General features: G+C 38.6%; 1 protein-coding gene and 2 pseudogenes across 6 annotated transcripts in view, besides 2 other annotated features; 2 read left to right on the top strand and 1 right to left on the bottom strand.

Annotated features, from left to right (window-relative positions):
* Window positions 1-24,044, bottom strand: part of RAP1A (RAP1A, member of RAS oncogene family) — a 174,683-nt gene that overhangs the window by 47,385 nt on the left and 103,254 nt on the right. For 2 of the 6 annotated variants that reach the window (NM_001394066.1, NM_001370217.2), the window contains one exon: window positions 4,436-4,515. The exons of the other annotated variants lie outside the window; for them this stretch is intronic. The gene's annotated coding sequence lies outside the window, so the exon portion shown is untranslated. The remainder of the gene's footprint in view (window positions 1-4,435; window positions 4,516-24,044) is intronic. 6 annotated transcript variants of the gene reach the window in all.
* Window positions 14,259-14,328: a silencer, noted in NCBI's record as "silent region_1187". NCBI's record gives its function as "represses an Ori minimal core promoter by ATAC-STARR-seq in GM12878 lymphoblastoid cells {active_cell/tissue: GM12878}" and the evidence as "EXISTENCE:reporter gene assay evidence [ECO:0000049][PMID:35858748]".
* RNU6-151P (RNA, U6 small nuclear 151, pseudogene) lies at window positions 18,770-18,876 on the top strand (annotated as a pseudogene).
* Window positions 19,710-21,084, top strand: KRT18P57 (keratin 18 pseudogene 57; annotated as a pseudogene).
* Window positions 21,294-21,494: a silencer, noted in NCBI's record as "peak362 fragment used in MPRA reporter construct". NCBI's record gives its function as "represses an SCP1 promoter by STARR-seq MPRAs in K562 erythroleukemia cells {active_cell/tissue: K562}" and the evidence as "EXISTENCE:reporter gene assay evidence [ECO:0000049][PMID:32103011]".

The raw sequence follows: 24,044 nt of genomic DNA, 5'->3' as shown, positions 1-24,044 counted from the left end.
ACAGAAGTTTTAGCTAGGCAACAGAGCATCCAACTAATATATCCACTACTTATTAGACACAGAATGGTATCAGGGAAAACTAGCAATTTAGGCTATGGTTGTCCAATTTTCTTTTTTCCTTTTTACATATTTTCCATTTCTGTCTCTTTATTTTGGTTAACTTATTTTTCAGGTCATCTTCCAGGTCACTAATTATAATCTATTGTTAAGCCTGTCCATTGACTTTTAAGATTTTTATTTATACATTTCTTTTCTTTCTTTTTTTTTTTTTTTTTTTTTTCTTGAGATAGGGTCTCATTCTGTTGCCCAGGCTGGAACGCAGTGGCACAGCTCACTGCAGCCTTGACCTCCTGGACTCAAGGGATCCTCATACCTCAACCTCCCAAGTAGCTGGGACTACAGGCACACACCACCATGCCCAGCTAATTTTTGTATTTTTTTGTAGAGATGGGATTTCACCATGTTGCCCACATTGGTCTCGAACTCCTTGGGCTTAAGTGATCTACCTGCCTTGGCCTCCCAAAGTGCTGGGATTACAGATGTGCATCACCGCATACAGCCTATATATTTCATTTCTAAAAGTTCTCCCCCTAAACACAAAAAAGCTATTTGTAACTTCTCATAACCTCGCTATCTTTCTTATAAGCAGTATAGTAAAATGGTTAAAAGCCTGACTTTAGGACCCATACCGCCTGGCTAGAATCCTGGTTCTACTACTTTACTAACCTTGGTCAAGTTACATCCCCATTCTGTGCTTCATTCCTTCACCTGTAAAATGGGGATAATAATAAACCCTACTTTAGAGTTTTTGTGAGGATTAATTAACATGTAAAGTACTGAAGAGTTCAAGGTTCATAGGAAGCACTACAAAATGTTAGCTATCATAATCCCATCATTCTTATATTTTTAATCTTTACCTCGCTAAACACACTGATTTTAAATTCCTGTCTAATAATTCCAAAATATGAAGTCAATGGGGGTCCAATTCAGTTGTCTGTTATCCTGGATAATCCGTATTTTCAGTCTCTTTTTCTTTTTGAGTTGTGTGATCTTTTACTGTGATGTGCATTTGCTTCTGCAAGTGCCTGGAGTTACTAGTGGCCAGAATTACTTTGAACCATAGTCAAATTTTAAGATACTTTTGGGCTAACCCAAAAAGTGTGATTTAGATATGGAAACATAAAGGCTAGGTTGCAACTATAAAATGTCAAAGAATAACAACCCCCAAACCTGCACCACCACTTCAACTTAGTGCCAACATTTGTGACAGTCCAGTTTCCTCGGAGTTGGCAGGAGTAGGGGTGGGGAGGGGTGCACAGACACTCGGTGGAGTCTCCTCATAGACTGAGCTTAGTCTCCTATCCTCTATGTCTGCGAAGGCAATGAAACCATAAGCCCAGGTTTAGCTGGTTCAGTAGGTGCCATCAAGACAAAAATAGGCTCTGAGTGCTGAGTCTAGCTTTCACTTACTTTTTAGCCTCTGAGCATATCTTATGTCAGTTCCTTGATACTGTTCCTTTAGGTTTCCAGTTGTAAAATGGGACCTTCATTTAAAAAATCTTAAATGGCCAATATGCACTTCTTCACAGTGAGAAGTCATGAACCCACATTTTTTTTTTTTTTTGAGACGGAGTCTTGCTCTTGTCGCCCAGGCTGGAGTGTGATGGCGCGATCTTGGCTCACTGCAACCTCCGCCTCCCAGGTTCAAGCAATTCTCCTGCCTAAGCCTCCCGAGTAGCTGTGATTACAGGTGCGGGCCACCACGCCCAGCTAATTTGTATTTTTAGTAGAGACAGGTTTCGCCATGTTAGCCAGGCTGGTCTCGAACTCCTGACGTCAAGTGATCCAGCCGCCTCGGCCTCCCAAAGTGCTGATATTACAGGAGTGAGCCACCATGCCCAGCCATGAATCTACATTTGATGAAAACATTTCTTTATAATATTCTCAACATAAAATTATGAATATTAGTTATCAAGAATATAATCTATAATAAAAGTGTGATAATTTAATCACAGAATACTACTTTGTATTTTCTATCGCCATTTTTTTAAAGAGTGGAGAAACAGGAGAGGAGGGTAGGAGTGTCAGAATGACCTGAGCAAAGAACCGTTACCCTCCAGGCAAAGAATCTGTCAGTTCCTTTTCTTTTCCACTACATGACTCTAGCCTAAGCAACCTCCTGGGACTACTGAAATAGCCTCTTAACTAGTCCATTGTTGCTCACTTGAGTTCCTCTACATTGCAGCCAGAATGATCTTTTCAAAACAGAAAATTAAATGATTTCCTTTTGCTCATAGGGTAAAGATTAAACTCCAAGTTCTCAAAGCTCCTAATGATTTGGCCTGTATCCACTTCATCTTGCTCCATATCCCTATTTACTCTCTATGACAGCCACACTGGCCATCTTTCAGTTTCTTAAACCTGATATGCTCCCTTCTGCCACAGGGCTTTTGCAGAAGCTATTCCCTTTGCCTGCAATGACTTCTTCCTTCTCCACTTAGTTAATAATGCCTGCTCTTTTCCTTGGATCTGAGCACAAGTATTAATTCCCTAAGATATGCTTCCCTGACCCCTTTGAGTCAAAACTTTATATACTCTTATAGTATCAGGCATTTTTCCTAAGCAATACTGATCACAAATGCAAATCAATGCTTTTTTTTTTTAAATCTCTGTGATTTGATTACCTAAATTAGACTGCTGAATATCATTCAAATTATTTGCCACATATAATAATCTCAGAATTAGTGTTAAAACCTAATTTACATTCTATTTTTAGAATATCTGCAATGTGATCTGAGTTCTTACATTCAATGACTACCATGTTGTTATAAATAAGGAGTTTTTAATCTAATTCTTCATCAAAAAAAGTCTAAGACAGATTGTTTCAGTAATTCCAGATTTTACATATGGAAACTAATATATGCACATGTTGCATGGCTGAGTGTTACCACATAGAACTGTACAAATAATCCCTAAATGACAGTTTTTGCAGGTATTAGTATAAATACTTAATTTGAGAAGAGTCATCATTCTGAATTTTTTTCTGAAGGATAACTAAGAAAGTAAACATTTTTGTGAAATTCAAATATAATAGCTTTGTTTACTGTGAATTTTCATGTCATGAGGCAAATAACACTTGTACTGTTTTGAAGACTTCAACAAAAGATTATACAAAATTATATCTTTCCTGTATGCTTTGTCTCAATGCATTTAAAAACTATTCTCCCTTTATTGATTTCAGTTTAAACTGTCAGTCATCACGGTTACGTATGTCATCAGATTGAGCCATCTTCTCTCTTCAGAGAAACAAGTATTTTAGAAACAAATGAAATGAAAATACTTTCAAGACAAACCCAAAGGTTACTAAAATTGTTACTTTAAATCATTTTAAAGCTCTAAAGTAAAATATATGCTTCATATTAAAATGATTTAAAAGAAAGAGATGGTCTTCTTTGACTATAACTTTTCCTCCTAAATGTTTAATACTGGGAATGCTTCTAATTACCAGAAGAAAGGGGGGAATATCACAGTATCCAAAAATATCCTATACTCTGTGCCTTTAGGAACTACATGTGCTCTTGGATCCATGAGCTGTCAAAAAACAGTGAATGCATATCCTGTTTTAGCAACATAGCAAATCATCAAAAGCACATCACCAGTAAATGTTTGACTAAGTGAAATGGAAATGAAAGACTGCTTTTTAAATGTATTACCATCTACTTAAGTAAAGTGAATATTCTTCAGTATAACTATTATCATTGCAGACAAACAAAAAATTTGTAAACCATGCAGAAAAAATTTAAGGCCATGACTAATACTTTCTAGGTTGACCAAAACATTATTTTCCTTAAAAGATACATTTGGTCAGGTGTACTAAATTATGCCAAGTATAGCTAAGTTTATCAATTCTGGAATCTTGATACATTTCCATAAATAGAGGTATTCACTCTCTAACTTTATTCCCTTAACAGCACTGCCACATAAACTATATATGACCAAAACTAAAGCATGCCAAAGCTAATGAAAAAGTATAAATTTGGAATAATTATAAGTAAAAATGCATAATTATAACTAAGTTTCTGATATCTTTGTTTTTCAAACTATTATCCAGCTAAAATGTTATAACCTTTCCTTGAAGGGAAAGTAAAACCGTGTAACCAACAGCAACTAAACTTTATATAGCATTCTGTCACTTACAATGCTCTTTCCTTTTTATTTTTTAGGTAATCAAAACCAAAACTATATGTCATTACCCCCACTATAAAGAAACATACAAGGCTTAACTTGGATTAAATGACTTAAGCATAAAGTAATTAGGAAGCTGTATTCAAACCTATGTCTCTAGATTTTAAATGTTGCTCTCTTTTGAATATATTATGCTGTTATATAACAACAACACAACAATAGTAATGGCAAACATTTACTGAGTGCTTACCATGTGCCAGGAAGTGCTGTAAGAAATCCTCACAATAAGCTTACAAGGCAGATACTAGTAATATCCCCAAAGTCACATATCTAGGAAGAAAAGCCACGATTTAAACTCAGGCAACCTGGTTTCAGGGTTCACAATCTAACATGCCAATCTGCCTGTATTCATTCATGTACATAAAACTTGTATATGCATAGAATACCTTTGGGAAGGAAGCTGAGGAATGACAGGACATGGAAAGAAAAGAGATTTTTCACTGTGTACTTTGTATGTATTTCTTGAAGCCCAGGGAGAGGAAGGGGGTGTAGGTAGACAGAATGTTATAGACATGGAATTCCAGAAAAAAGGCAGAGACTCAAGAGACTCTGTGATGATCTAATAGAAAACTTATATTTAAAAAAAAGTCTAGGTGGCCTGAGCATTTACTGTGAAAGGGTGAGAGAGGAAAGGACTTAGTACATATGTGGTTTTGTTTTTTGTTTTTTTTTTTTTTTTTTTTTTTTTGAGACGGAGTCTCACTTTGTTGCCCAGGCTGTAGTGCAGTTGCGCAATCTCAGCTTACTACAACCTCCGCCTCCTTGGTTCAAGCGATTCTTCTGCCTTAGCCTCCCAAGTAGCTGGGACTACAGGCATGTGCCACCATGCCCGGATAATTTTTTTGTATTTGTAGTAGGCAGGGTTTTACCGTGCTGGCCAGGCTCGTCTTGAACTCCTGACCTCAGGTGATCCACCCTCCGTGGCCTCCCAAAGTGCTGGGATTACAGGCGTGAGCCACCGTGCCTGGCCCATATATGGTTTTAAATAGCAGGCTATAAAAGTTCCTCTATGACATCCTATGAACTTGAAACTTTCCTATCAGATGAGAAAAGCCATCTAAGGCTTTTGAGCAAGAGTTTGAAGAGAAAAAAGAAAGCTCTATGAGTACTCTGTAGATTGCAACAGAGGAATGAAAAACTAGAGAAGGAAGATCAGTTAGGAGGGCAAGGAAGCAAACCTTTTTTTTTTAAGTGCCTTTTTCTTAGACTTTAGCAACCTTCAAGGCAGACATTATCTTCCCTTCAAAATGCAGATAAAAGATGCCATTCCTAGTGCTCAGAACAATAGTTGGAAAATAGTAGATGCTCAATAAACATTTATTGAATGAAAGAAAAAAGGGGTTGACCTTGGCTTCAAAGCTAGGTGTCGTCTAACACTAATGCCTAAGACCTTTTCCACTATATTCGGTAATTCAATTAATCCAAGCAATCTTTAAAATGTGGTGAGACCATTTAGATGGAGGGCTAATCTTAAAGTAAGGGACATAGTTCAGCAATGTTGCTGTGAACACCAAATTAGATAATGCATATGTAGCACTTAGGAGAGTGCCTGGCAATTATCCACTTAAAAATACTACTATCACTACTTTATTAATGTAACTAGAGTGTTATTGATATTTTGAGAAGAATTTTGGAAAGGTAATGCAAGACAAGAATGGAAAGCACTGTCAGATTAGGAACCCCAAATCAGGAGGCAGTATAATCAAATTTATTGATTCTTAACTTTATTGTATTCCTTAATCCAGTAAATCCAGTTATTTGAAAAGAATATATACACTGGGGGAAGTGAGGGAAATGTTGGAGACCAGGGAACCCAAATTAACAACCTCTGATCAAAAACAAAGAGCCTTGGCCAGGCACGGTGGCTCACGCCTGTAATCCCAGCACTTTGGGAGGCCAAGGCGGGTGGATCATGAGGTCAGGAGATCAAGACCATCCTGGCCAACATGGTGAAACCCTGTCTCTACTAAAAATACAAAAATTAACTGGGCATGGTGGCTCGTGCCTGTAATCCCAGCTACTCAGGAGGCTGAGGCAGGAGAATCACTAGAATCAGGGAGTCGGAGGTTACAGTGAGCCAAGATCATGCCACTTGCTCCAGCCTGGCGACAGAGCAAGACTGTGTCAAAAACACAACAACAACAACAACAAAACCAAAGAGACTTTTGCAGGAATATCTGGGTCCAAAATCAGGATCTATAAGTTGTGTGAGCCAAGACAAGTCATTTATCCTCATTAATATTCAACTTCTTTATTTACACAACAAAGCTGGACTAAGATACCTCACTGGTTTCTGTTAAGTAAACAACATATTTAATAACATATTTTAGGTACAGAAGCTTAATGCTTTTTTCCTTCCCAAACTAAAGTGAAGAGAATCAATGTTTTAGTTGATAAAAACACTGCCACATTAGAAAACTATTAGAATCGCTGTTTATTAAATCTGTTTGCTCATATAAGAGCATCAAATCTCTCTTAGTATGGCCAGAGTGTTATGAGTTTCCTATCCTCGTAAGTGCTACAGTTCTACACAAATTTTTTGTTCCCAGAGCTATTAATTTTGTGAAGAGAAATAACACCCCCTAGACACCTTTGTTTTGAAAACATCTGATTGAGGAACAATCTTAGCCCTGATCAAGTTAATTTTTTTTTTTTTTTTTTTTTTTTGAGATGGAGTCTCGCTCTTTCGCCCAAGCCTGAATACGATGGTGCTACCTCTGCTCACTGCAAGCTCCGCCTCCCGGATTCACGCCATTCTCTTGCCTCAGCCTCCCGAGTAGCTGGGACTACAGGCACCTGCCATCACGCCCGGCTAATTTTTTGTATTTTTAGTAGAGACGGGGTTTCACCATGTTAGCCAGGATGGTCTCAATCTCCTGACCTCATGATCTGCCCGCCTCGGCCTCCCAAAGTGCTGGGATTACAGGCGTGAGCCACCACACCCGGCCAATCAAGTTAATTTTTTCAGATGAGAGAAGGTTGGGAAAAACAAGGAAATTAGTTAAAGCCCTGCCTTCATGAGAGATGAATCAGTTTGAACAGGATCTAGAAGTGACCATTAAATAATAATTGGTTTAATAAGGAATCTTTGATTTTGTGCCAAATGCTAAGAAATACACAAAAAAAGATACATAACTATTTGACTAACAGAATTTCTAGGGTTTATTCTGAAGAATTACGTTGGGAAAGTCATTCTACTTTCTTACCATGGAACCAAAAAGAGATCCTCTCAATTGGAAATTGCTTTTTTTTTTTTTTTTTCTGGGACGGAGTTTCGTTCTGTCGCCCAGGCTGGAGTGCAGTGGCGCAATCTCGGCTCACTGCAAGCTCCGCCTCCAGGGTTCAAGTGATTCTCCTGCCTCAACCTCCTGAGTAGCTGGGATTACAGGCATGCGCCACCACGCCCGGCTAATTTTTGTATTTTTAGTTGAGACAGGGTTTCACCATGTTGGTCAGGCTGGTCTCGAACTCCTGACCTCATGATCCCCCCGCCTCAGCCTCCCAAAGTGCTGGGATTACAGGCATGAGCCACTGTGCCCGGCCCCTAAATTGGAAATCTTAACCTGGCAATCAGGAGTTATGAATTGCTGACCACAGATGTATATAAATACATTACTTCAGAGAATCATTCTTTTTGTATGGCCATCAACCATAACAGACTAAATAAGCTACCATCAGCTTACACCTGGATCCCTATAATAGCCTCTCATCTGATCTCCCTACATCCAATCTTTTCCCCCTCCAATATATTCATAATGAAGCTAAAATGAACTTTGTAAAATGACAAATTTAATCACTTAGTGACCTCCTCCGAATCCCTCCAGTTCAGATACTTCAGTGATTTCCCATTTCCCTTAAAGATAAAGACCAAAGATGTTAACATGGCTTACAAGGGTCTGCACAGTTGGGTCCCTAACTCCCATTCTGGCTTTATTTCACAACAGTGCTCCCTTCATTCTCAACACTCCAGCCAACTGGCTTTCTTACATCTTCTCCAATGCATCATGCACTCTCCTGCCAGAAACAAGTCAGCTGGTAAAGTGTTCCAGAAAACAAAAAGCAATGGGGAGATCGTAGTCCATATGGCATGTAGGTTTATAATCTAGAAGAGTGATGTTTGAGTAAACAACTAAAGATGATGGGCAGTTAGAGGACAGAGTTGGGCAGACATCTGAGGGAAGCAGAAAAGCCTTGAGATGCCTGGTGACTTCGATAAGGAACAAGTAGGGCACTATAATTGGAGGACAATGAGGAAGTCATTAGGAGAAGAGAAGGTAAGATATTAAATAGAGAGCTAAATACAGGCTTTTAGGCCACGGTAAGGACTTCAGCTTTTACTTGGTATGCGTGGGAAGCCACTGGACAGTTTTGAGCAGAGGATGTCAAGTTTCCACTGAAATTTTTAAAAGGTCTCTCTGGTTGTAAAAGAGAAGGTCAAGGGCAGAATCAGGAAGAACTGGAAGGCAACTGAAATAATGCAAGAGATAGGAATGTTGACCAAAGGAGTAGCAGTGCAGGTAGTAAGAATTGGTTAACTTCCACATACATTTTGAAGACAGGGCCAAACGAAGAGACAAGTTGGGAGAAAAAAAAGACTGCTAAAAAATAAAGAGAGGATAGACACCAAACCACAGACCCAGGAAGTTCAGAGAACACTAACCAAGATAAATGCCAAAACATCTACACTTAGGTATATTTCAGACTGCATAAAATCAAGGCAAAGAGAAAATGCTGAAAGAAGCCAGAGGGGGGGAAAACATCTTACCTATAGCAGAACAGAGACAAGAATTGCATCAGACTTCTCTTCAGAAACCAGGAAAGCAAGAAGAGAGTGAAGTAAAATATTTAAAGTGTTCCCAGAAAAAACCACCAAGTTACAACTCTGTATTAAGTGACACTATCCTCCAAATGAAGGAGAAATGCACACATTTTCAAACAAAAATGGAGAGAATTTGTCACCAGCAGACATGCCTTGCAAGAAATGTGAAAATTTCTTCAGAAAGAAGGAAAACTACTTAGGTCAGAAACTTTACTTTTACTTGTCTTATCCTTTATCGATCTAAACATATACAGTTTGTTCAAAATAACAGCAACAAGGTATTAGGTGACTATAGCTTATGGATAAGTAAAATGAATGACAGCAATGTTATAAGGGACTAGTGTAAGTAATTAAGAATATTCTGTTCCAAGGTACTTGCACTACCCATGAAGTGCTATGTTATATGAAAGTGGGCTTGGCTTAGTTGTAAATGTATACTGCAAATTCAAGGGCAACTAGTAAAAAAAAGTAAAAACAAGTATAATACAGTAAGTGAGGAGAAAAAATGAAGTAACATAAAATGTTCAATTGAAATCAGAAGGCAAAAAAAGGAAACAACAAGGGAGGGCAATGAATAGAAAACAGTAACAAATATGGTAGATATATATTAATCCAACACCAATTAAAAGAGACTGTCCAGCATGGCATAGGTATACATATGTAACTAACCTGCACAATGTGCACATGTACCCTAAAACTTAAGGTATAATAATAAGAGAAAAAAAAAAAAAGAGACTGTCACAACGGACTAAAGAAACAAGACCCAACTATATGTTGTCTATAAGAAACCCACTTTAAATATAAATACAGTAGACCCCCCCATCCATAGTTTTGCTTTTTGCAATTTCAGTGGCCCAGTCAACAGGTATCTGAAAAATATTACAATATTGAGAGAGAGAGACTACTTTCACATAACTTTTAATAAAGTATATTGTTAGAATTGTTCTATTATTAGGTATTGCTGTCAGTCTCTTACTGTGACTAATTTATAAATTAAACTTTATTATAGGTATGTACAGGAAAAAATACAGTACATATAAGGTTTGGTACTATATCCGCGGTTTCAGGCATCCACAGAGGACACTGAAATGTATCCTCCATGGGTAAGTGGGGACTACTGTACAGAGATTAAAAGTAAAGAGATGAAGAAAAATATATCATGCTAACACTAATAAAAAGAAAGTTAACAGTAGCTATATTATTCTGAGACAAAGCAGGCTTCAGAGTAAGAGAAGTTATCAGGTATGAAGAAGAGTATTACATAACGATAAAGGCATCAATTCTCCAAGAAGACATAACAATTCTTAATGTGCATGCATCTAACAACAGTGTCAAAATACATGAGGCAAAAATGGATACTGCAAGGAGAAACAGATGAATCCATTATTATAGCTGGAGCCCTCAACACCCTTGTCAGTAACTGACAGATCCGGCAGGCAGAAAATCAGTAAGGTCGTAGCTGAAGTAAACAACACCATCAATCAATTGGATCTAATCAACATTTACAGAATACAGCCAGGTACTGCAGGACATTGTTTTAATCCGCATTGTTTAGACCGCATATGTGATGGTGGTCCCATAGGATTACAATGGAGCTGAAAAATTCCTATTGCCTAGTGACATCTTAATGATCCTGAACCAGTGTAGGCCTAGGTGAATATGTGTGTTTGTGTCTTAGTTTTTAACAAAAATGTCTAAAAAGTAAAAAATTTTAAAAATAGAAAAAAAGTTTATAGAATAAGGAACTAAAGAAAGGAAATTTTTTTTAACAGACAACAATGTGTTTGTGTTTTAAGCTAAGTGTTATTACAGGAGTCAAAAAGTTTATAAAGTAAAAAAGTTACAATAAGCTAAGGTTGAATTGAATGATTTACTTTATTTATTTACTTAATTATTTTAGAGACAGGGTCTCACTCTGTTGCCCAGGCTGGACTGCAGTGGTGTGATCACAGCTAGGAGATATGTTGTTAAGTGATGTGTGACTGTATTTCTATATATTGGCAAAGAAGTGAAAAATAAAATTTAAAAAATCACTTACAAAAGTATCTAAAAAGAAACTACTCAGAGATTAATTTAACAAATTGCCTAATAATATATTTCTCCGAACGTATCCCTGTTAAGTGATGTATGACTGTACTTTATCCAACAATGAAAGAATATATATTATTTTCAAGTGTACACGAAACATTTACCAAGATAGACCATATTCTAAATTATAAAGTAAGTCTCAATAAATTTGAATAAATTTAAATCATACAAGGTATGTTTTCTGACTACTACAGAATTAAATTAGAAACCAGTAACAGAAAGATCAAGAAAATCCCCAAATATTTAGAAACTAAACAACATATTTCTAAATAATCCATAGTTCAAAGAAGAAATCAAAAGGGATAAATTGGTATTTTGAACAGAATGAAAATGAAAACACAACATATTAAAATTTATAAAATAAGACAGTCCAGAAATAAATCCCTCACATATATGGTCAAATGATTTTTGAAAATGAGGCCAAGACCATTCAATTGGGAAAGGATGGTCTTTTCAATAAATGGTGCTAGAAAAACTGGATATTCACATGCAAAAGAATGAAGAGTTGGGCCCCACCATATACAAAAATTAACTCAAAATGGATCAAAGACTAAATGTGAGAGAGCAAAACCATAAAATTCTTGGAAGAAAACATAGGAGGAAAGATACATGACAATGGATTTGGCAATGATTGCTTAGATAAACACCAAAAGCACAGGCAACAAAAGAAAAAAATAGATAAATTGGACTACAGGTTGAGTATCCCTTTGGGAACAGAAGTGCTTCAGATTTCAAATATTTTCAGATTTTGGAATATCTGTATATACATAATGAGATCTATTGGGAATGGGACCCAAGTCTAAACTGTTTCATAAACACTTCATACACAGCCTGAAAGTAATTTTATACAATATGTTTAACAACTTTGTGCATGAAACAAAGTTTTGACTACTATTTTGACTGCAACCCACATGGGGAAAGATATAAAATGTTCCACTTCTGGTGTCATGTCAGCACTCAAAAGTTATGGATTTTGGATTTTGGATTATGGATATGGATTTTGGACGCTCAACCTTGATGTGTTCTTTGATGCACAGAAGTTTGCAATTTTGACATATAGGTATCCCTAATCCACTTATATGAAGTACCTATTGTAGTAAAAAATTCAGAGACAGAAAATAGAATGGTGGTTGTTGGGGGCGGAGAAGGGGGATGGGGAATTACTGTTTAATGGAATCAAGTTTCAGTTACACAAAATGAAAAGAGTTCTGTAAACAGATGGTGGTGAAGTCTGCACAACAATGTGAATGTACTTAATTTTACTGAATTGTATACTTAAAAATAATTACAATGGTATGTTATGTGTATTTTACCACAATATAAAAAAATACAACACAATTCTCCATATTAACTAAAACAAAAAAAAAACAATCAGAGCAGAGAAGCCATCAAAGCAGGTCAGGAAAGAGCAACTAGTGAGTGAGGCAGTGGCGGGGGGGAACCATGTATATAGTTTCTTGGGATAAAGAGAAGAAAATATTTCAAAGAGGAAGAATTGATCAATTATCAAATGCTGACATGTAAATTAAGATGCGACTGAGAACTTGACCACTGGAGGTCACTGGAGACTGGATAAACCAATTTCAGTGTAATAACCCAGGACAAAAGCACAACTGGGTTCAGGAAAGATTGGGAGGCAAGAAATTGGGAGATGGCATTATGGACAATTTTTTTGAGGAGTTTGCTTTAAGGAGGAATAGAAAAATCAGGTGGTCACTACTACAAGGGAAAGGGGAATGTGGTTTCAAAAAGGGTTTTGCCTTATTTATTTTTATAGTAGATACTTATTAATCAAACATTTAAGAGCAACTCAGTAAGTATTTGTCCAGAATGAACTGTTCTCAAGACTAGGTTTACTGCTTGACATTAGAGGTTAAGGTGTTGCAATTCTGAGTCTTGTTTTTTATTACTACCAACCCCCACCCCCGCCGATATTACTTCATCTCCCTCCAAGGTCACTGAAGTTTTTCATAACTATTTTAACAGATATTGCAATAAATGTACAGTAATTTAACTATCCTTCTTGCTGGGCATGTCAAAGTGTTTTCTATTATTACAGATAATGCTGCAATGAATCTTTATTTATATAATACACTTTTATCCAGTTGTCATTTTTTTCTTTGTCTTATATTCTCACATGGAACATTAATTAATCAGAGATTAGGAGGCCGGGCGCGGTGGCTCAGCCTGTAATCCCAGCACTTTGGGAGGCCGAGGTGGGCGGATCACAAGGTCAGGAGATCGAGACCATCCTGTGAATGGTGAAACCCCGTCTCTACTAAAAATACAAAAAACAAAAAAACAAACAAAAAAATTAGCCAGGCGTGGTGGTGGGCGCCTGTGGTCCCAGCTACTCGGGAGGCTGAGGCGGGAGAATGCTGTGAACCCAGGAGACGGAGCTTGCAGTGAGCAAGCAGTGAGATTGCGCCACTGCACTCCAGCCTGGGCGACAGAGCGAGATTCCGTCTTAAAAAAAAAAAAAAAAAAAAAAAAAAAGACTATGAACATTTTTAAGGTTCTTCATGGAGATTAGTTTTATCAACTGGCATTCCAATCAGGAATGTGTGGGTCCCATTTCACCATATCCCTAATAGCACAGTTTCAACATAAATGTTCCTATTTAGTTAACTGTATTATCAAAATTTTATTACTCTAAGTTTCTCCGATTAGTGAGGTTAAAGTTTTCAAATATTTATCAGTCATGTGCTTTTTTCTTTTGTGAATGCGTATTCTTTTTCATTTATCTTTAAAAAAAGTTTGTTCCTATCAAGCAGTCTGTTCTATTTATTAAGAATAGCCACTTTTTTTGATTATCCCGTTTTCCCTCAGATATTGTTTGCTTTTAGCTGTTTATCACGCTCAAGTTAATTTCTGTTGTTTTTTTTTTTGTTTTATTGCATTGTTTTTTTTTCTTTTTTTTCAGTTATTTTGCATTAAATCTATGTTTCCCATGGTCATTTTCCCCTCATAGCTCATGAGTTTGGTTTATAACTGCTAAGGATTGGGTACCAGTGGATTAAAGCAAAAGACTAGTTTAAGAATGGAAGTTCTGTTGTGAGTAATTTAGAAACTCTCTTTTGCTATAACTACTTGGTCTATGGTCTGGCCCACATTTATTTTTTCAGACAGGGTCTCACTCTGTCACCGCTGGAGTGCAGTGGCACGATCACAGCTTAGTGCAGCCTCCAACTCCTGGCCTCAAGCAATTCCCTCCCACCTCAACCTCCAAAGTCCTGAGATTACAGGCGTGAGCCACCGCATTCAGCCAGTCCACATTTAAATCAAAGTTTAGAAGGCTAATAATTTTATGTCCAATAAGTAAATAAACATATAATAAAATATGGTAAAGGCAACTAGATAAATTAGCAAGTAGGACTTAGATTCAGATCACCTATATTTAATCACTGGCTCTACCACTTATCAGGTAGAAGTCTCTGGACTTCTTAAACTTACTCAGTTCTCATGATCTATAACCAACAGTAGCAGTTTAACACTTACTGAGGACTTATTATGTGCAAGCATGTTTCTAAGAATTTTACTTTTAGTCAATTTATTTAAAACAATTCTATAATATTATTATAATCACCACTTTGGACAAGAGAAAACATACGACCTACAGAAGTTCAATAACTCAACAAAACTCACAAAACAATTAGTAAATGGCAGAACGAGGATTTGAACCTAGGCATTCTGCCTCCAGTGCTCCCATCCTGGCTCCTAAGCACTCTATTATATGGCCTCTTTCATCTTTAAAATGGGAATGATACCACCTAACTCAGGTGTGATGGAAGGATTAAATAAAACAGTATACATGAAAGTGTGAAGTGGCAAGAACAAGAAAGTATTAAGAGGGGGGTTTGTTTGAAGTAACAACAAAACCTGATAGACACTTTGTATGATTTAAAATAGGTTAAAAAAAATAAAAAAGATGGCAAATTCCACAAAGCATATGCAATGAACTAAAATCCTTACAGTAACTCGTTAAGAATACCATGGCGGAGAGTCCTTAGGCTCTTGCTCTCTGGCTGGAATAAAAAATTCTTGCCTGAGACTAGAAGGATATGCAATTTATCCCATGAAAATAATTGTGCAAAGCATTATCCTTAGCAGGCCAGATCAGTTAATATGCCAGTTTAGAAGCCCCATGAAAACAAGAGACTCGCCTTGTCTTTTCTTCCACTTACATCTTGCCACTTCTCTTATGTCAAAATAATATCTTGGTTTATACCCCTTCCTAAGTAATGCCTTAACCACTTCCTCTATCTATCCAAATCCTCTGTGCCTTTTGAGGTGCATTTCAAGCCCCAACCTCAGAGTTGTATCCATTAATTCATGCCCACAGTCTTCTTTTCTCTCCCTGACCTCTCATTACCTCTTTTATACTACTTAATCTCTGGTTAAATTTTCTTTTGTTGACATATAATTCATACACTGTAAAATCCACCTTTTTTTTTTTTTTTTTTTTTTTTTTGAGACAGAGTTTCGCTCTTGTAGCCCAGGCTGGAGTGCAATGGCGTGATCTCGGCTCACTGCAACCTCCGCCTTCCCGGTTCAAGGATTCTCCTGCCTCAGCCTCCCACGTAGCTGGGATTACAGGCATGTGCCACCACGCCCAGCTAATCTTTTGTATTTTTAGTAGAGACGGGGGTTTCTCCATGTTGATCAGGCTGGTCTCAAACTCCCAACCTCAGGTGATCCGCCCGCCTCAGCCTCCCAAAGTGCTGGGATTACAGGCGTGAGCCACCGCGCCTGGCCCACCATTTTCAAGTACACAATTCAGTGGATTTAAAAATTATATTCACAAGGCTGTTATAACCACCATCACTATCTAATTTCTGAATATTTTCATCACCCCTCCCAAAAAAAAACATATCCATGAACAGTTACTCCCCATTTGCCCTCCCTACAGTCTCTGGCAACCACTAATCTACTTACTGTCTCTAAAGATTTGCTTTTTCTATACATTTCACATAGATGGAATCATACAACTTGTGGCCTTTTGTGTCTGGCTTTTGTGCTTAGCATGCTTCCAAGGTTCATCGATGTTGAAGTTGTGTCAGTATTTCATTCCTTTTTATGGCTAAATCATATTCCATTGTATGGCTATATCACATTTTGTTTATTTATCAGTTGATGGACATTTGGGTTCTTTCCACTTTTTGTTTATTGTAATGAACAGTCTTGCACAAGTTTTAGTGTACACATACGTTTCCAATTCTCTTGGGTATATACCTAGCAGCAAAACTGCTGGGTCGTAAGATAACTCTATATTTTTCTTTTATTTTTATTTATTTATTCTTTTTCATTGCATCTCTTTAGCATATGTTTAACTTTCTCAGGAACTGCCAAACTGTTTTCCACAGTGGCTGTACCATTTTACATTCTCATCAGCAATGTATGAGAGTTCCAATCTCTCTACATCCTGGCCAACACTTGTTATTGTCCTTTTTTCCCCTAAATTACAGCCTTCCTAGTGTGTATGAAATAATATCTCATTATGGTTTTGATTTGCGTTTCCCTAAGGTCTCTGTTTATATTTTATATGATATATATTCTTCTAATCCATAGTCAGCAAACTTTATCTATGAAGAGCTAGATGGTAAATGTTTTATGCTTTGTGAGCCACATATGGCCTATGTCACATATTATTCTTTCTTATTTAAAAAAAAAAAACTCTTTAAAAAGTAAAAACCATTCTTAGCTTGAGGGCCATACAAAACAGGTCTTGGACCAAAGTTTGGTGACCTCTCCTCTAACTGTTTCATAATTAGCCTTGCCTTTGCTGTCAACGTCAACTTTGCTGAATGCAAGGTAAGGATTATTTTGTATTTCCACATAGAGATTTGCACAGGGTCTATGAATACAAGAACAGAGGTTCTAAAAATACTTGAACTGGGTCAGGCCTATAATCCCAGCACTTTGCGAGGCTAAGGTGGGTGGATCACCTGAGATCAGGAGTTCGAGACGAGACTGGCCAATATGGCGAAACCTGGTCTCTACTAAAAATACAAACATTAGCTGGGCATGGTGGCACAAGCCTATAGTTCCAGCTACTCAGGAGGCTGAGGCAGGAGAATCATTTGAACCTGGGAGGCTGAGGTTGCAGTGAGCCAAGACTGCACCACTACACTTTAGCCTGGGTGACAGAGCGAGACTCCGTCTCAAAAAAATAAAAATAAAAATACTTGAACTAAACTTTTTGCACAAAAAAAAAAAAGTCAATTAAAAAATACATATATTTGGAGCCGGGCACGGTCTCTCACGCCTGTAATCCCAGCACTTTGGGAGGCCAAGGTAGGTGGATCATGAGGTCAAGAGATCGAGACCATCCTGGCCAACATGGTGAAACGCTGTCTCAACTAAAAACACAAAAACATTAGCTGGGCGTGGCAGCGCATGCTGGTAATCCCAGCACTTTGGGAGGCCGAGGCAGGCAGATCACTTGAGGTCAGGAGTTCAAGACCAGCCTGGCCAACATGGCGAAACCCTATCTCTACTAAAAATTAAAAAATCAGCTGGGCATGGTGGCACATGCCTGTAATCCCAGCTACTCGGGAGGCTAAGGCACAAGAATTACTTGAACCTGGGAGGCAGAGGTGACAGCGAGCCAAGATCGTGCCACTGCACTATAGCCTGGGTAACAGAGCGAGACTCTGTCTAAAAAAAAAAAAAAAAAAAAAATTATATATATATCTCCCATAGGCATTATGCAATATAAAGGGTACTGGTTTTTTAAGTGATTATTAAAAGTACAAAGTCATTTTTCTTTTTTGAAACTAGCTAACTTGAAAGAATTTTGTTAAGAACCAGAAAAAGACTTTTTCATAATGCCCTTAAGAGTCAAAATTATAATCAATTAACTTAAAGACATACTTCTGAATCAAGTATTTCTAAATCCCACAACTACAAATAAGATTAAAATTACAGTAATACAATGTGGAAGAACTTGCTATCTGTTCCTCTTTATATATAGCCAAAACAAGCAAACAAACAAGACAGGAACACAGAAGACTTTTAGGGCAGCAAAACCATCTGTATGAAACTATAAGGTGAAGACGGGCGCAGTGGCTCACACCTGTAATCCCAGCACTTTGGGAGGCCGAGGCGGGCGGATCACGAGGTCAGGAGATCGAGACCATCCTGGCTAACATGGTGAAACTCCATCTGTACTAAAAATACAAAAAAATTAGCCGGGCGTGGTGGCGGGTGCCTGTAGTCCCAGCTACTTGGGAGGCTGAGGCAGGAGAATGGTGTGAACCTGGGAGGCGGAGGTTGCAGTGAGCCGTTGCAGTGATCGCGCCACTGTACTCCAGCCTGGGCGACAGAGCAAGACTCTGTCTCAAAAAAAAAAGAAAGAAACTATAAGGTGGACACACATCATTTTACATTTGTCCAAACCCATAGAATATACAAAACCAAAAGTGAACTCTAAGGTAAACTATGGACTCTGCATAATAAGTATGTGTCAATGTACATTCATCAGCTGTAACATATGTACCAATTTGGTAGGGGATTTGTTGATAATGAAGGAGACTATGCATGTGTGGGGGCAGAAGATATACGAGAAATCTGCTCAGTTTTATTGTAAACCTAAAACTGCTCTAAAAAAATTAAGTCATGCTTGCTTTGGCAGCACATATACTGAAATTGGAATGATATAGGGAAGATTAACATGGCCCCTGCATAAGAATGACACACAAATTCATGAAGCATTCCATGTTTTTTCAATGGTCTATTTTTTTAAATGGCATACTTTTCTGGTAAATGCAGAAAAGCCGGAAATTCAACAATTTGAATTTTATATTTTAGAAATTATAAGTAAATCATATAGAAGTCTTTCTGCATAGAAACTCTTTGATATAGGAGAATGAAAACTAATGCAAAAGATAGCAGACATAACTAGCTATTTATCTCAGGGCAAGTCACTGAATTTCTTTGAAGCCCAAACTTCTTATCTTTAAAAGTAGGAGTGACACTATCTGTCCTACCTTTTTCACAGAATTGTGAAGATCAAATGAGACAAACTTAGTAAATGTAAAAAAAAAAAAAAAAAAAAAAAAAGCACTCTACCACTCCACAAATATTACTTATATATATTGTTAGAAGAATTCTAAATCAAAACCAAGTTTTCACTATTAAAATAAGTGTAAACAAGAGTTCTCTGGGTCTTCATACTCATAACAAACATTTTTCCTAATAATCCTAATGACATCAATGAACAGTGTGGTGATTCTTTTTTAAGCCTAACAGAGGAATGAAAATCAGACCAAACTGGTCTCACATTCTGAATGGCATAAAGGTTAACCCAGTGCATAAAAGCATTCAGACCGGTTTTCCAGGTCTTAGGAACCTAAGACAACATTCATTCTTTTGCACCTTTAGCTTATTCTAGCTAAAAGAAATAATGTATTAAATATCCCTTTAAATACTAACCTCTCTGCTAAAAATTCTATGGGAACCAAACCTCAAAAATCAAGTCAGAATCAGTAATAAAGTTTTGATTATCAACAGCAAAAGAAGAAAGGGATATTAGGCAATGATAATATCTAATATTCTGGTCGTCGGCAAAGCCTGAGTCCTATCCTCTCACTCTCCTCCCCAGAGAGCATGAGCTTTACCACTCGCTTCACCTTATCCACCAACTACCAGTCCCTAAGCTCTGTCAAGGCAGCCAGCTATGGCGCCTGGCCAGCGTCTATCCAGGTGCTGGGGGCTCTGGTTCCCAGATCTCCGTGTCCCACTCCACCAGCTTCTGGGACAGCTTGGGGTCTGGCTGCAGGGATGGCCGAGGGGCTGGCAGGAATGGGAGGCATCCAGAATGAGGAGACCATGCAACGCCTCAATGCCTGGCCTCCTACCTGGACAGAGTGAGAGCCTGGAAACCGAGAACCGGAAGCTGGAGAGCAAAATCCAGGAGCACCTGGAGAAGAAGGGACCCCAGCTCAGGGACTGGGGCCATTACTTCAAGACCATCGAGGACGTGAGAGCTCAGATCTTCTTAAATACTGTGGACAATGCCCACATCGTTCTGCAGATTGACAATGCCCATCTTGCTACTGATGACTTTAGAGTCAAGTATGAGACAGAGCTGGCCATGTGCCAGTCTGTGGAGAGTGACATCCACGGACTCCACAAGGTCAATGATGACATCAATGTCACTTGGCTGCAGCTGAAGCCAGAGATCGAGGCTCTCAACGAAGAGCTGTTCTTCATGAAGAAGAACCATAAAGGGGAAGTAAAAGGCCTACAAGCCCAGATTGCCAGCTCTGGGTTGACCATGGAGGCAGATGCCCCCAAATCTCAGGACAGCAAGATCATGGCAGACATCTCGGCCCAATACAATGAGCTGGCTTGAAAGAATCGACAGGAGCTAGACAAGTACTGGTCTCAGCAGATTGAGGAGGGCACCACAGTGGTCACCACGCAGTCTGCTGAGGCTGGAGAGGCTAAGATGACGCTCACAGAGCTGAGACATACAGTCCAGTCCTTAAAGATTGACCTGGACTCAGTGAGAAATGTGAAGGCCAGTTTGTAGAACAGACTGAGGGAGGTGGAGGCCCTCTACTTCCTGCAGATGGAGCAGCTAAACGGGATCCTGCTGCAACTGCAGTCAGAGCTGGCACAGACCCGGGCAGAGGGGCAACGCCAGGCCCAGGAGTGAGTACGAGGCCCTGCTGAATATCAAGGTCAAACTAGAGGCTGAGATCGCCACCTACCACCACCTGCTGGAAGATGGCAAGGACTTCAATCTTGGTGATGCCCTGGACAGCAGCAACTCCATGCGAACCATCCAAAAGACGACCATCCACCAGATAGTGGATGGCAAAGTGGTATCTGAGACCAATGACACCAAAGTTCTGAGAATTAAGCCAGCAGAAGCAGGGTACCCTTTGGGGAGCAGGAAGCCAATAAAAAGTTCAAAGGTCACTGGAAGTCAAAAAAAAAAAAATACACACACACACACACACACACACACACACTGTTTGAACCTGGGAGGCAGAGGCTCCAGTGAGCCAAGATTGTGCCACTGCACTCCAGCCTGGGCAACAGAGCAAGACTGTGAAAAATAAATAAATAAATAAAATTTAAAAAATAAAATTCTCTACAAGAGTACAGACAGGTTGTGACCTAGATTTGAACTAAGAAATGTTAAACAGAAAAAAGTATTTACAGTCAAACCAAAAACCACCTGAACACAGACCTTAAAAGTGTTACTAAACGCCTTGAAGTTCAGGGTTCAAAGGAAGAAACTACAGTTAAATACCTATGACTAAACATTCTAAAAGCTATGATCTTAACATGTATTAGATCTGGATCCCTGGCCAGGCACACTGGCTCATGTCAGTAATCCTAGCACTTTGAGAGGCTAAGGTGGGAAGGGGTTAGGAGTTTGAGACCAGCTTGGACCTCATCTCTTAATTTAAAAGAAGGAAAAAAAAAAAAAGATCTAGAGCCCTAATTCTAAGAAACCTTACAGTAGCAAGAAGCAAACAATTGAAACATTAGCCATATCAATCTGTAAAGCATGTTGAGCTTTAGCTAAATATCTAGATTAATACAGAAAAAATGTTATAATAGTCCCTGATATAACCACAAATATCTGTTACGTTTATCTACATAATTTAAGGCAGCGATCCCCAACCTTTTTGGCAGAACCAGTTTCATGGAAGACAATTTTTTCACAGACTGGAGTGGGCGTGGGAGATGGATTCAGGATGATTCAAACGCATTACATTTATTGTGCACTTTCTTTCTATTATTATTACACTGTAATAATAATAATGATATGAAACAATTATACAGCTCACCATACTGTAGAATCAGTGGGAACCCTGAGCTTATTTTCCTGCAACTAGACAGTCCCATCTGGGGGTGATGGGAGACAGCAACAGATCATCAGGCATTAGATTCTCATAAGAAGCGTGCAAGCTAGATTATGTACATATGCAATTCATAATAGGGTTTGCACTCCTATGAGAATCTAATGCCACTAGTGATCTGATAAGAGGCGGGGCTCAGGCAGTAACACTCAACGCTGCTTACCTCCTGCTGTGCAGCCTGGTTCCTAACAGGCCATGGACCTTTACTAACTAGTCTGTGGCCCAGGGGTTGGAGACCCCTGATCTAAGGGTATGAGACAGTAAGAGACAAAGGAAAATATGACCAGTTACCCAAATTTAACAATAAAAAAACTTTAACTCCTTTTCTCAAAGTGCTAGTTTGACTAATGTTATCTTGGGTAACAAAAACTTGGAAAAAGCCAAGCATTAGGAAAAAATAAATCAACTAGTTCTGTGTTAAGAAGGTGTTCCACTCGTCTGTGCGCGGTGGCTCACGCCTGTAATCCCGGCACTTTGGGAAGCCGAGGCGGGCGGATCACAAGGTCAGGAGATCGAGACAATCCTGGCTAACACAGTGAAACCCCGTCTCTACTAAAAATACAAAAATTAGCCGGGTGTGGTGGCGGGCACCTGTAGTCCCAGCTACTCGGGAGGCTGAGGCAGGAGAATGGCGTGAACCCGGGAGGTGGAGCTTGCAGTGAGCCGAGATTGCACCACTGTACTCCAGCCTAGGGGACAGAGTGAGACTCCGTCCAAAAAAAAAGAAAGAAAAAGAGAAGATGTTCTACTCCAATGGATGCATTCATTCATTCATTCTTATTCCCTTAGTCTGCAATTGCTCAAATTTATTTATAATTTGGGAATTGAGGTTTTGTTTTGTTTTTTTTTTTTTTACAAAAAGGAAAACTGACAGAGAATTTAAAGACAGACACACCCTGTCTCTCCAAATTAGAACAAAACATCACTAGCTCTAATTGGCAGGGATCTCCTATTAAATGGTCAGAGGTATACTAGTGGATACAAACATACTAACATTTTTTAAAGCTTGCCAAACCCATGTTACGTTGTGGGAGAGAAAAAAAAGTGTAAAAAACAACCTGGTCATTTACTAAGGGTTCTATCAAATTCGCAGTGATGAGGGGTACAAAAGGAAAAGATGTTTACTTGTACAAGAATTCCTTACTGCCTTCAACTATATAAAAATGAAGCAAAAAGAATTGTGCAGTGCAAATATGACTCATTAAAAATGCTTCTGAAAGAATTCCTGGTAAATATCTAAATTAATTATCTTTTTTTCAGCACCTGATATAAACACGTGTGCACGTGTGTGTAATCTGAGGAAAACCCCACAGCACAGGTTTTCCACCTCACTGAAGCATCAGCTTTGAGCCCTAAGTCCTTCATCTTCTCCCACCTTATTGTTTCCCTTCCTTTTCTCCTAACCCACGACTCCAAGGGTGATCAACAGTGTAGCTTAGTAGTTAAGAACACAAGACTTTGGAATCTAGCTTCCTGGGTTTAAAGCCCAGTTCTGCCACTTACTAGCTCTGTAATCCTTGGCAAGTGTCTTAACCTCTCTGAGCCTCAGTTTCATCACAGGGATAACAGTGCCTGGCTCGCAGGGTTATTTGAGTAAATGAAATGGTATCTACAAAGATCATTTATGCGCCCAACACAGAATGGGAGTTCTATAAGTTATACACCACCATCTTTGAGTTAGTCTTTGCTCAGATTCCTCTATTCCATGTATTCCTGTTGTTTCACCCGCAAATCAGCCAGTACACATCAACTGTTAGTGAATCTTAAACTTTCTCTTCATTGGTGGAGAAAATATTATTATATAACTGATGTCACTACTTCAAATTCCTGGTCTGAAATCTCACCTGGACCCTCAGTACTGCACATCAATCCTTTTACCAATCTCTACTCCACTTCCTCTCTCATTACCTTCCTTCTTGATAAACTTAAGTCCAGTTACTATGATCTTTTTTCCTAAAGTCCCACTCAAAGGATGAGGCTGTCCCTTCTCACATTTAAGGTCAACCTTTCTA

This window comes from Homo sapiens, chromosome 1 (genome assembly GCF_000001405.40).
Source record: "Homo sapiens chromosome 1, GRCh38.p14 Primary Assembly".
NCBI classification, from domain to species: Eukaryota; Metazoa; Chordata; class Mammalia; order Primates; family Hominidae; genus Homo; species Homo sapiens.
The sequence above is the reverse complement of the archived record's forward strand: the minus strand, read 5'-3'. Positions and strand labels throughout refer to the sequence as shown.